At 40.6% G+C, this 12,630-nt stretch overlaps 1 protein-coding gene across 13 annotated transcripts in view, besides 2 other annotated features; it reads right to left on the bottom strand.

Annotated features, from left to right (window-relative positions):
• The window catches only part of FUT8 (fucosyltransferase 8), a 387,280-nt gene that overhangs the window by 50,148 nt on the left and 324,502 nt on the right, over positions 1-12,630 (bottom strand). The gene's annotated exons all lie outside the window — the stretch shown is intronic.
• Positions 762-1,323: an enhancer, noted in NCBI's record as "H3K27ac hESC enhancer chr14:66159369-66159930 (GRCh37/hg19 assembly coordinates)". NCBI's record gives its function as "activates a minimal SCP1, AML or CMV promoter by ChIP-STARR-seq in primed H9 embryonic stem cells {active_cell/tissue: H9 hESC(primed)}" and the evidence as "EXISTENCE:reporter gene assay evidence [ECO:0000049][PMID:30033119]".
• Positions 1,886-2,448: an enhancer, noted in NCBI's record as "OCT4-NANOG-H3K27ac hESC enhancer chr14:66158244-66158806 (GRCh37/hg19 assembly coordinates)". NCBI's record gives its function as "activates a minimal SCP1, AML or CMV promoter by ChIP-STARR-seq in naive H9 embryonic stem cells {active_cell/tissue: H9 hESC(naive)}" and the evidence as "EXISTENCE:reporter gene assay evidence [ECO:0000049][PMID:30033119]".

Below are 12,630 nucleotides of genomic sequence, written 5' to 3'. Positions count from 1 at the left end.
ACCCACAAATTTGATAGCTAACATGAATTGAACCAATTCTTTGAAAGATCCAATCTACCAAAATTCACACAAGGAGAATTTGGTAATCTGAATAGGTCTCTATATTGATCAAAGAAATAGAATAAACAATAATTTTCCAAAAGAGAAAGCACCACACTCAGATAGTTTCACTGGTGAATTCTACTAAACATTTAAGGAACAAATGATGCCAATTCTGTATAATTTCTTCCAGAAAATAGAAACAGAAGGAATCCTTCCTAAATCATTCTATGAGGCTAATATTACACTAATACCAAAACCACATAAAGACATCATGAGAAAGAAAACAGACTAATAGCTCTCATTAATGTAGATGCAAAATCCTCAACAAAATATTAGCAAATCAAACCTAACAATGTATAAAAAGAATTATTCTCCCTCTCCCCCTCCCTCTCTCCCTCTCCCCACGGTCTCCCTCTCCCTCTCTTTCCACGGTCTCCCTGTGATGCCGAGCTGAAGCTGGACTGTACTGCTGCCATCTCGCCGTCTCGGCTCACTGCAACCTCCCTGCCTGATTCTCCTGCCTCAGCCTGCCGAGTGCCTGCGATTGCAGGCGCGCGCCGCCACGCCTGACTGGTTTTCGTATTTTTTTGGTGGAGACGGGGTTTCGCTGTGTTGGCTGGGCTGGTCTCCAGCTCCTAACCGCGAGTGATCCGCCAGCCTCGGCCTCCCGAGGTGCCTGGATTGCAGACGGAGTCTCGTTCACTCAGTGCTCAATGGTGCCCAGGCTGGAGTGCAGTGGCGTGATCTCGGCTCGCTACAACCTCCACCTCCCAGCCGCCTGCCTTGGCCTCCCAAAGTGCCGAGATTGCAGCCTCTGCCTGGCCGCCACCCCGTCTGGGAAGTGAGGAGCGTCTCTGCCTGGCTGCCCATTGTCTGGGATGTGAGGAGCCCCTCTGCCTGGCTGCCCAGTCTGGAAAGTGAGGAGCATCTCTGCCCGGCCGCCATCCCATCTAGGAAGCGAGGAGCGCCTCTTCCCGGCCACCATCCCATCTAGGAAGTGAGGAGCGTCTCTGCCCGGCCGCCCATCGTCTGAGATGTGGGGAGCGCCTCTGCCCCGCCACCCCGTCTGGGATGTGAGGAGCGCCTCTGCCCGGCCGTGACCCCGTCTGGGAGGTGAGGAGCGTCTCTGCCCGGCCGCCCCCTCTGAGAAGTGAGGAGACCCTCTGCCCGGCAACCACCCCGTCTGAGAAGTGAGGAGCCCCTCCGCCCGGCAGCCGCCCCGTCTGAGAAGTGAGGAGCCCCTCCGCCTGGCAGCCACCCCATCTGGGAAGTGAGGAGCGTCTCCGCCCGGCAGCCACCCCGTCTGGGAGGGGGGTGGGGGTCAGCCCCCCGCCCAGCCAGCCGCCCCGTCCGGGAGGGAGGTGCGGGGGGTCAGCCCCCCTCCCGGCCAGCCGCCCCGTCCGGGAGGGAGGTGGGGGGGGGGTCAGCCCCCCGCCCGGCCAGCCGCCCCGTCTGGGAGGGAGGTGGGGGGGTCAGCCCCCCGCCCGGCCAGCCGCCCCGTCCGGGAGGGAGGTGGGGGGGTCAGCCCCCCGCCCGGCCAGCCGCCCCGTCCGGGAGGGAGGTGGGGGGGTCAGCCCCCCGCCCGGCCAGCCGCCCCGTCTGGGAGGTGAGGGGCGCCTCTGCCTGGCCGCCCCTACTGGGAAGTGAGGAGCCCCTCTGCCCGGCCAGCCGCCCCATCTGGGAGGGAGGTGGGGGGGTCAGCCCCCCGCCTGGCCAGCCGCCCCGTCCGGGAGGTGAGGGGAACCTCTGCCCGGCCACCCCTACTGGGAAGTGAGGAGCCCCTCTGCCCGGCCACCACCCGGTCTGGGAGGTGTACCCAACAGCTCATTGAGAACGGGCCATGATGACAATGGCGGTTTTGTGGAATAGAAAGGGGGGAAAGGTGGGGAAAAGATTGAGAAATCGGATGGTTGCCGTGTCTGTGTAGAAAGAAGTAGACATGGGAGACTTTTCATTTTGTTCTGTACTAAGAAAAATTCTTCTGCCTTGGGATCCTGTTGATCTATGACCTTACCCCCAACCCAGTGCTCTCTGAAACATGAGCTGTGTCTACTCAGGGTTAAATGGATTAAGGGCGGTGCAAGATGTGCTTTGTTAAACAGATGCTTGAAGGCAGCATGCTCGTTAAGAGTCATCACCACTCCCTAATCTCAAGTACCCAGGGACACAAACACTGCAGAAGGCCGCAGGGTCCTCTGCCTAGGAAAACCAGAGACCTTTGTTCACTTGTTTATCTGTTGACCTTCCCTCCACTATTGTCCTATGACCCTGCCAAATCCCCCTCTGCGAGAAACACCCAAGAATGATCAATAAATAAATAAATAAATAAATAAAGAATTATACACTATGACCAATTGGAATTTATTTCAGACATCCAGTGCTAGTTCATCATCGAAAAATCAATCAAGATAGTCCATCAAATCAACAGGCTAAAGGAGATAAATAATTTAATAATATCAATAGATGCAAGAAAAGTAGTCCACCAAATCCAACACCTATTCATGATTAAAAACTCTCAGCAAGAAAGAACATCTACAAACAGCCTACAGCTAGCAAACTGCATAATGGTGAGAAACTTGATACCTTCTTCCTAAGTTGGGAACAACACAAGGATGGCCCCTCTCACCATTCCTACGTAACACTAAAAATAAAAGGAATCAGTCAGTAGCAGAAGTCAATGGAATAAGACAAAAGAAAGAAAGAAAAGGTATACAGATTGGGAAGGAAGACATAAAACTATCTTTGTTCACAGATGACATGGTCATTTATGTAGGAAATCCCAAGAGTTGGCAACTTGCCCCTGCCCCTCCACCCCCCAAAAAAACCAGCAAAAAACCCCTGCTGGAACTAATAAGTAACTATATCAAGGTTGTAGGATACAAGGTTGATATACAAAAGTCAAATGTGGCTGGGCGTGGTGGCTCACGCCTGTAATCCCAGCACTTTGGGAGGCCGAGGCAGGTAGATCACCTGAGGTCAGGAGTTTGAGACCAGCCTGGCCAACATGGTGAAACCCCATCTCTACTAAAAGTACGAAAATCAGCCCGGTGTGGTGGCACACGCCTGTAATCCCAGCTACTCGGAAGGCTGAGGCAGGATTATCAGCTTGCACCCGGGAGGCAGAGGTTGCAGTGAGCCAAGATCACGCCACTACACTCCAGCCTGGGTGACAGAGCGAGACTCTTGTTTCAAAAAAAAAAAAAAAGTCAAATGTTTTCCTATATACCACCAATGGGCAATGAAATTTAAAACACACACCACCATTTACATTAGCACAAGAATGAGAGAGAGAGAGAGAGAGATAAAGGGATGACAGAAGTTAAAGTCTAATAAAATACATTATGAGCTCTATATGACAAAAATTATAAAACTGAAGAAAGAAACCAAAGAAAATCTAAATAAATAAAGAGCTATTCCAGGTTCATGGATAGAAGACTCAATATTGTCAATGTCAATTTTTCTCAACTTTATATATAAATTCATCACAATCACAATTGAAATCCTGACAAGTTACTTTATGGCTATCAATAAGCTAATTCTAAAGTTTATACAGAAAGGCAGAACACCCAAAAGAGTTAATATAACATTGAAGAATAACAAAGTAAGAGGACTGATCTACCTGACTTCAAAGACTTTTTTGAAGATTACTTTATATATAAAGTAATCAAGACAGTGTGATATTGGAAAACAGACAAATAGATGAATGGAACAGAAGATCCCAGAAAAAGACCCACATAGAGATGGTCAACTGATCTCTGAAAATGGAGCAAAGGCAATCCAATGGAGAAAAGATAGTATTTCAACAAATGGTGCTGGAAAAATTAGACATCTACTTGCAAAAACAACAAACAAACAAACAAAAACAGGGTATAGAATCTAGACATTGACCTTATACCTTTCATAAAAATGAACTCAACATGGATCACAGACCTAAATGTAAAATGCAAAACTGTAACACTTCTAGAGGATAACACAGGAGATTATTTAGGTGACTGTGGATTTGGCAATGAGTTTTCAGATATAACACCAAAAGCACAATCCATAAAATAAAACAATTGAGAAGTTAAACTTCAGTGAAGTTGAAAACCTCTGCTCGGCTGGGTGCTGTGGCTCATGCCTGTAATCCTAGCACTTCGGGAGGCCGAGGTGGGCGGATCACGAGGTCAGGAGTTCAAGACCAGTCTGGCCAATATGGTGAAACCCCATTTCTACTAAAAATACAACAATTAGCCAGGCACGGTGGCATGTGGCTGTAGTCCCAGCTACTTGGGAGGCTGAGGCAGAAGAATTGCTTGAACCCGGGAGGCAGAGGTTGCAGTGAGCTGAGATTGCACCACTGCACTCCAGCCTGGGCGACAGAGCGAGACTCTGTAACAAAAAACAAAAAAACAAACAAACAAACAAAAAACCTCTGCTCTATGAGACATAGTTAAGAGAATGAAATGAAAACCCACAGATGAAAGAACTTATATCCAACTCAACTCAACTTTATATATAAATAGAACTCTTATAACCAAAATATATAAGAACTCTTTCCAAAATATAAAAAGAACCCTTAAAACTTAATAGTAAGAAAGCTAACAACCCAATTATAAAATGGGCAAAAGACCTGAGCAGACATCTCACCAAAGAAGATGTACAGATGACAAACAAGCATATGAAATGATTCTCAACACTGTATGGCACTAGTGAATTGCAAATTAAAACAGAATACTACCACATATCTATTAGAATGGCTAAAATCTGAAATAGTGACAACACCAAATGCTGGGGAAGATGTGAAGAAATAGGAACTCTCATTCATTGCTGCTGCAAATGCCAAATGGTATAATCACTGTTATGGACTGAATGTTTGAGTCCCTCCTCTCCCCTCAAATTCATATGTTGAAGTCCTAACTTCCAGTGTGATGGTATGAGGAGATGGGGCCTTTGGGAGGTAATTAAGTTACATGAGATAATGAAGGTAGAGTTCCCATGATGGAATTGGTGGTCTCAGAAGAAGAGGAAGAGACACAGAATTTTCTCTCTCCACGATGCGAAGGTAAACACCAGGAAGAAGGCCCTCACCAAAACTGTATGTTGTTTAAACTACCCAGTTTATATTTTGTTATAACAGCCTAGATAGACAGCCGTTTTGGAAGATAATTTGGCAGTTTCTTACAAAGCTAAACATAGTTTTGCCATATGATCCAGCAATCTCACTGCTACAGCTTACCCAAGTGAGTTGAAAATGTATGCCCACTCACACACCTGCACACAAATATTTACATTAGATTTATTCAAAATTGCCAAAAAATTGGAAGCAATCAAGATGTCATCTATGATCCATATTGAGTTCATTTTTGTGAAAGGTATAAGGTCAGTGTCTAATCCCAACTCCCCTGCCTTTTTTTTTTTTTTTTTTTTTTTTTGGCATGTGGATGTCCAGTTCCAGCACCAACTAACTGTTGTTAAATGGATAAATAAACTGTGATGCATCCATATAATACAGTACAATTCAGCAATAAAAAGAAATGAGCTGTAAAGTTACAAAAAAGACATGTAGGAACCTTAAAAAAAACAAAAGCCAGTCAGAAAAAAAACACATAATGTATGATTCCAACTATATGACATCTGGAAAAAGCAAAATTGTGGAGATTTAAAAGATTAGTTTGCCAGGGGTTAAGGGGCAAGGCAGGTGGGGAGGGATAAATAAGTGGAGCATGAGATTTTTAGGACAGTGAAACTTCTGTATGATTATGCTACAGTGAATAAATGACATTATGCATTTGGCAAAAGCAAGAGAATTGTACAGCACAAAGTGAACCCTAATGTGAACTATGGATTTCAGTTAATAATATATCAATATCACTTCACTGATTATGACAAATATACCATGCCAATACAAATATTAATAATAGAGGGTTAGGCATGGTGGCTCATGCCTGTAATCCCAGTGCACTGGGAAACCCAGGCAAAAGAACTGCTTCAAGCCAGGAGTTCATGACCAGCCCGGGCAACATAGCAAGACCTGTCTCTACAAAAAATTTAAAACTTAGCAAGGCATGGTAGCACACCTATAGTCCCAGCTACTCGGTGGTTGAGGTGGGAGGACTGCTTGAGCCCAAGAGTTCAAGGCTGCAGTGAGCTATGATCGCACCACTGCACTCCAGTTTGGTCAACAGAGTGGGACTCTCTTAAAAAGGTTGGGGAGAATAAGTCATGGCTGGCACTTGGTGCAGGGGGTAGGGGGAGTGGGGGGTATATAGGGGAACTCTTATTTTCTGTTCAATTTTTCTATAAGCTTAAAACTGCTCTAAGAAATAAACTCTAATATTTAAAAATATATTCATTCAAAACCGACCAAAAAGAATACATATAGATATGCACATATATATTTAAGTGGTATTTTTATTTTTGGATTTTCTGTACTTTCTGGGTTTTTCAGCAATAGGTGTTCATTGCTTTAAACTTAAAAGTTTTATTTAAAGGAAATTATGCTAAATAAACAGATTTGGCATCACCAAAATGACAATATGATACAAATGTAATTAAATCCAGAAAATTCTGATCCCTAACACTACTGTCCAATTAACACAATCTCTCTTTTTTTCTTCAGTTCTATGTTAATTAAAAATAATGATACCTCACCATGTGATTTTCTGGAAAGAATAACTGAGAAAAACTCTTTAAAGATTAAAAGTAAAAAAGGATGATATCCTAGTAACTGGTAAAATTATTAAGGATGGGAAAAGGTTTTCTCTTTGACTAAAGAGAGGGCTAGTCCTGGAATGATTTACCTAGTAACTGGTAAAATTATTAAGGATGGGAAAAGGTTTTCTCTTTGACTAAAGAGAGGGCTAGTCCTGGAATGATTCAAGGAAACCTCTAACCAACTAACAAAGGCCAAACTTATCACAAATTAGAAACACAAAGAGTCCATTCTACTAAATCTAAGGCCTTTTTAGTTCAACTGAAAGGCCATATGAAGAAGTAGTTTAAAATTAAAGCATGAGTCACAGGTTACCTAAGACTTCTCAACCTGGGAAGAAACTTGTTCTGTTTGAATGAACAGAACAACTGTCCTTAAGTATAGATGTTTTCAAGTTTGTAACTAAGGATTTTCTGGTTAATATTGACATAAAGGTTCTAATTTGATAAAAGTGGAAATACAGCTTCTCTTAAGTTCTCTTTCATGGTAAACAGATACATAAAATTTGCCCTCTTAAAAAAACAGTTTCTTGTTCTTTGCTAATTGATGAACTTTTAAGACTTAAATCAAACTGACAATCAACCTCCTCTCCCTACCTGTATTAGATGGCATTTTCAATTCTTTGACAAAAATCAATCATTGTACAAACTGTTCTTAACAAAACAAAAACAACTCTTAAAACTAACAACTTTAATCCTTCATTGAGAATGGCTTTAATGTAATAATATGGCATATCCATTAATAGGCCTCAACTATTAACCTACCTAAGTAGCTTTCAGGAACCACAGTTCCATGATAATGGGTGCTTTCTTTCATTTCAGCAGAGATTTATTTCATACTGAACTTATTATTTAAAAAAGAATCGATTCAAGAACAAGTGTCTCAGGCTAGATTTGGTATTGTATAAGTAAGCTTTGTGTTAGAGGATGATAAGAATAAATTTAAAATTTTAATTGAACAATTCCAGGCACCAGAGGCAAACTTAAAGCTTAAAATGCTAAATAAAGCCAGCTGCCAAAAAGGCCAAGCTGGTGGTTACAGCTGTTTACCATCATGCAACAAAAATATAAAATCTCTCCATTTCTGAGGTGTCTTCTCCACATGGTAGGTAGACTGCTCATCATTTCTGTGGCCTCTGTTCACCACTTCTCTACTCTGGAGTTGTCAGAGGCATCTGAACCAGAGCAACTCCAACTTGAATAGGGGCTGGGTAAAATGAGGCTAAGACCTACTGGGCTGCATTCCCAGGAGGTCAGGTATTCTAAATCACAGTATAAGACAGAAGGTCAGCACAAGATACAGGTCTTGCTGATAAAACAACTTGCATAAAGAAGCCAGCCAAAACCCATCAAAACCAAGATGGTGAGGAAAGTGACCTCTGGTCATCCTCACTGCTCATTATATGCTAATTATAATACATTAGCATGCTAAGAGGCACTACCACCAGCATCACTGACAGTTTACAAATGCCATGGCAACATCATGAAGTTACCCTATATGGTCTAAAATGGGAAGGAACCCTCAGTTCCGTGAATTGCCCACCCCTTTCCCAGAAAATTCATGAATAATTTACCTTCTGTTTAGCATGTAACAAGAAATAATCATAAAAATGGGCAACCAGCAGCCCTCAGGGCTGCTCTGCGTATGGAGTAGCCATTCTTTATTCCTTTACTTTACTAATAAACTTGCTTTCACTTTACTCTATGGACTTGCCCCAAATTCTCGTGTGAGATCCAAGAACCCTCTCTTGGGGTCTGGATTGGGACCCCCTTTCTGGTAATAGGGTTAACCTACAATAGCATGGCATACAACTGTCCAAAGTGAAGGAAAATTAATTTTTTGAATATTTACCATTTCAAACTATCTACAATTATATTTCTTTAAATTAATTTAGAGAGTTGACTGCATTATTCTCACTGTTTTATACGGCCACTGAGAGAAAGCAAATTCTTATTTCAGTGCTGCCAGGGAAAACTGTGTCCAAATCTCCTTTTTGAATTAGGAAATGGAGCGGTACTTTGCAAAAATATGCTGTCTCATACTCCATTGATAAAAGACTGTAAAATAAGTTTGTTCGTTTGTTTGTTTGTTTTAAGTGTGAGCTTTTATCTTCCTATTTCTTTCTGGTAGTCACTAGCCTAAATATAGAGAGGAGGCAGGAAAGGAGACAGCAATGGCCTTTAAAAATCCACAAATTCAACAATCCTTTTCTGTGAGTTTCTCTTACCTGTGGCCCCTAATACAAAATGGCATTTGATTAATTTAAATTAAACTAATTAAACATGAAACTGGATAATAACATACTGTTTTACCAAAATGCATGTATTAGTCCATTTTCACGCTGCTATGAAGACATACCCGAGACTAGGTAATTTATAAAGAAAAGAGGTTTAATTGACTCACAGTTTCACATGGCTGGGGAGGCCTCAGGAAACTTACAATCATGGTGGAAGGCAAAACAGGCAAGTCTTACATGGTGGCAGGTGAGAGAAGTGAGAGCAGGGGAAATGCCAGATGCTTACGAAGTGTGTGAGAACTCACCAAGAACAGCATGGGGGAAACTGCCCCCATGATTCAATCACCTTCCATCAGGTTCTTCCCTTAACACCTCGGGGTTATAATTCAAGATGAGGTTTGGGTGGGGACACAAAGCTAAACCATATCAAAGCAATAGCTTTAAAATGCTAGTTTGCCCTTGACAACAGATAATAGCTTCAAAATATAGCTTTTGGAACCATTTCTTTCCACTATTTTTAAAGAATGACATGAGTAGATAGAGGGTTCAGACTATTCTTTAGCTACAACTCAAAGACTACATTCAAATCTTTTGAGAAGAATTCCTTCTTCCCTTTTCGTCATCTTAGCATACTCTAAAGACCTACTGGTAATTCATTTCCGTGAAACAGAATTGCAAGGCAGTCTTTAATAAAAGATGGCAAATGCAATAATTTACAGATGTGTTTTTTTATGCATCTGTGGTTACTCCTGTTTTCACTCAATTACATAGATAATTCCACTACTAAAATACAGAGGAATATGTACTGATAAATATTTAAGGGTATATTATAGTTATTATAGTAGAAGTCTTTTTATCAAACTGAAAATGCGATAAAATATATATATATTTTTAATATAAAATCAATGCCAACCAAAATATCTGCACCAACGTATAACAAAGAAACCAAAGTTGCTACTTATCATTAATATATATTCTTTTCAGGCTAAGAAAAATGTTCAAAGAAGAGATTTCACTTATTCAAATGAGAAACATTTAATTTCAATTATATATCCACAATAGAATAGGGAACAGTGATTTGCCCACATACACATTAATTAGTTTAATGATTATATATTAATATTAATGATATTCAGAAAAAGAAACAGCTTGAAGCTATTATCAGATTTTAAAAAAATGTCATGAATATAGACATAATATTCATTATTCATACAATGGATGCTATTCTACACAAACTGTAAAATCAGGGAATCTTTATGCCTCCTCTGCTTTTATTTTTGGTGTCTGGAATATTTTTCAATCCACATAAAGTATCCTTTTTTCTCTTTGAGAATAAAATTCCTCAATATCCAAATATTTGATTATTTAACTGTAATATTCTTAATTATGTTGGCAGAAAATGCATCTCCCAATGTAGTTTAATATTTTTCTGTGTGCTTTATTTACAAAATATAAATCTTTCATGGCAGTGTTATTATATTTTTGGCACTGTTTACAATCAAGGGTTGAGTAATAACAATGCCAATCTTGTGTCATTTCCTCAATTCAATTAAAAAGTTTCCTAACAAGCAATTCTATCTTAACTTGACAACTTTTGCCAATATTCTTCAAAAGCATGGTTTCATTTTTTCTCCCAAATTAATGCAAATGCATTATAAAATTACATGCTGAATTCCTAAAAATAAGAAACCTGGCCAGGAGTGGTGGCTCACGCCTGTAATCCCAGCACTTTAGGAGGCCCAGGCGGGCGGATCACGAGGTCAGGAGTTCGAGACCAGCCTGGCCAACATAGTGAAACCCCATCTATATTAAAAATACAAAAAATTAGCCAGGCATGATGGTGGGCGCCTGTAATTCCAGCTACTCAAGAGGCTGAGGCAGGAGAATCGCTTGAACCTGGGAGGTGGAGGTTGCAGTGAGCCGAGATGGTGCCACTGCACTCCAGCCTAGGTGACAAGAGTAAAACTCCGTATCAAAAAAAAAAAAAAAAATTGCAATTACTGTGAATGTAAACATTGGTTTTCAGTTTTGCCAATCCAATGACAGCTAAGACTGAATACAAAATGCAAGGTTTATTTAACTAAAGCACTACCATTTTCACATTTTTACAGCTTAAAAAATAACTTGCACTGAAGCACCCTCTATCAGATTTGTTTTTGATTCACTTGAAAAATACAAGATAACTATCAGAACCAATTTTTTATTCACAACTGACTAAAGGCTAAACTAAGAAGCAGATGTTTTGATGCACTCTTCTACATAATTCAGCAAATAAGAGGTAGAAGGAAAAATAATGCCCAGGAGTTCTGGTATCTTGGCATGTCATGGGCAAGTATTTTTATCATCACCTGCCAAGTACTCCGGGTGTGCAGATTTCTATACCTAAGATGTCTGGTCACTTTACAACTTTTTCAAAACCAGTTCAAATGCCATTTCTTCTAAGTTTTCTGGCTGGAATGACTACAACCTCCAATCCCTTGGGGTTCCTTTTTTTTTTTCTGAGACATGGTCTTGCTCTGTTGCCCAGGCTGGAGTGCAATGGCATGATCCTAGTTCACTGTAGCTTTGGACTCCTGGGCTCATGCAATCCTACCTCAGCTTCCCAAGTAGCTGGGACTACAGGCATGTGCCACCATGCCCAGCTAATTTAAAAAAAATTTTATTTTTAAGAGACCAGGTCTCACTATGTTGATGAGCTGGTCTCAAACTCCCAGTCTGAAGCGATCCTCCTGCATCAACCTCCCAAAGTGTTGGGATTATAAGCGTGAGCCACCACACCTGGCCCCCTTGGGATTCTTGTTTAAATCTTTATAATAACATCACTAACCACATTTTGCCTCTTGAGGCAGACTTTTAAAATGTTTGTGTTTATTTCCTATTTGGATTGGGAGCTTCCAGAGTTACAGGGACTCTCTTTAACCATCTTTAGGCTGGCAAACACTTTCTGTAAAGGGCCAGATAGTAAATATTTTATGCTTTGCAGGCCACATATGTCTCTGTCACATCTTTTTTTTAAAACAACCTGTTGAAAATATGGCAGGCCTTACAAAACCAGGCTGTGGGTGTTATAGTTTGCTGATCCCTGAGCACAATATTTAAAGGTCAGGTTTTGAAGTCAGACTGGGTTTCTGTATCAGCGGCTGTACTACCTCTGGCAAGTTACTTACCTATATAAAATGTGGATAATAAGGGTTATTGTGAATATTAAATTAGATTATATGTGATGTTCTTAGCACAGTAACGTAGTATGGTTCACTAAATATTAGCTATTACTGTAATGTGATCACGATCATAGTGCCTGAACTGAGCAGTACTCAGTATATTCACTGAATCAAAGATATCCAAAAAGACACTCACATACACACATACAACTGAGATTTTATAAAGAAAATGCCTTATTTTCTATAGTTTTAAATGCAAAAATATTTTTTAACTAAGTTATTTTCAGTTTTACTGGAAACATTAGAAATAAAAATCTTTAAAGTCTTTTAATATTAGGATAATTTTAACCAATGCAAATATATGAAGGCAAAGTTCCACCATAATAAAGCTTGTAAGAAACCAAGAGGATTAATTCTAGTGAAATTTTGTTATAAACAACAATAAGGCCATCACATTTTTAAAACATTCTTCAAACATTTCCATGCCTATTACTTCATTT

Source organism: Homo sapiens, chromosome 14 (genome assembly GCF_000001405.40).
Source record: "Homo sapiens chromosome 14, GRCh38.p14 Primary Assembly".
NCBI classification, from domain to species: domain Eukaryota; kingdom Metazoa; phylum Chordata; class Mammalia; order Primates; family Hominidae; genus Homo; species Homo sapiens.
The sequence above is the reverse complement of the archived record's forward strand: the minus strand, read 5'-3'. Positions and strand labels throughout refer to the sequence as shown.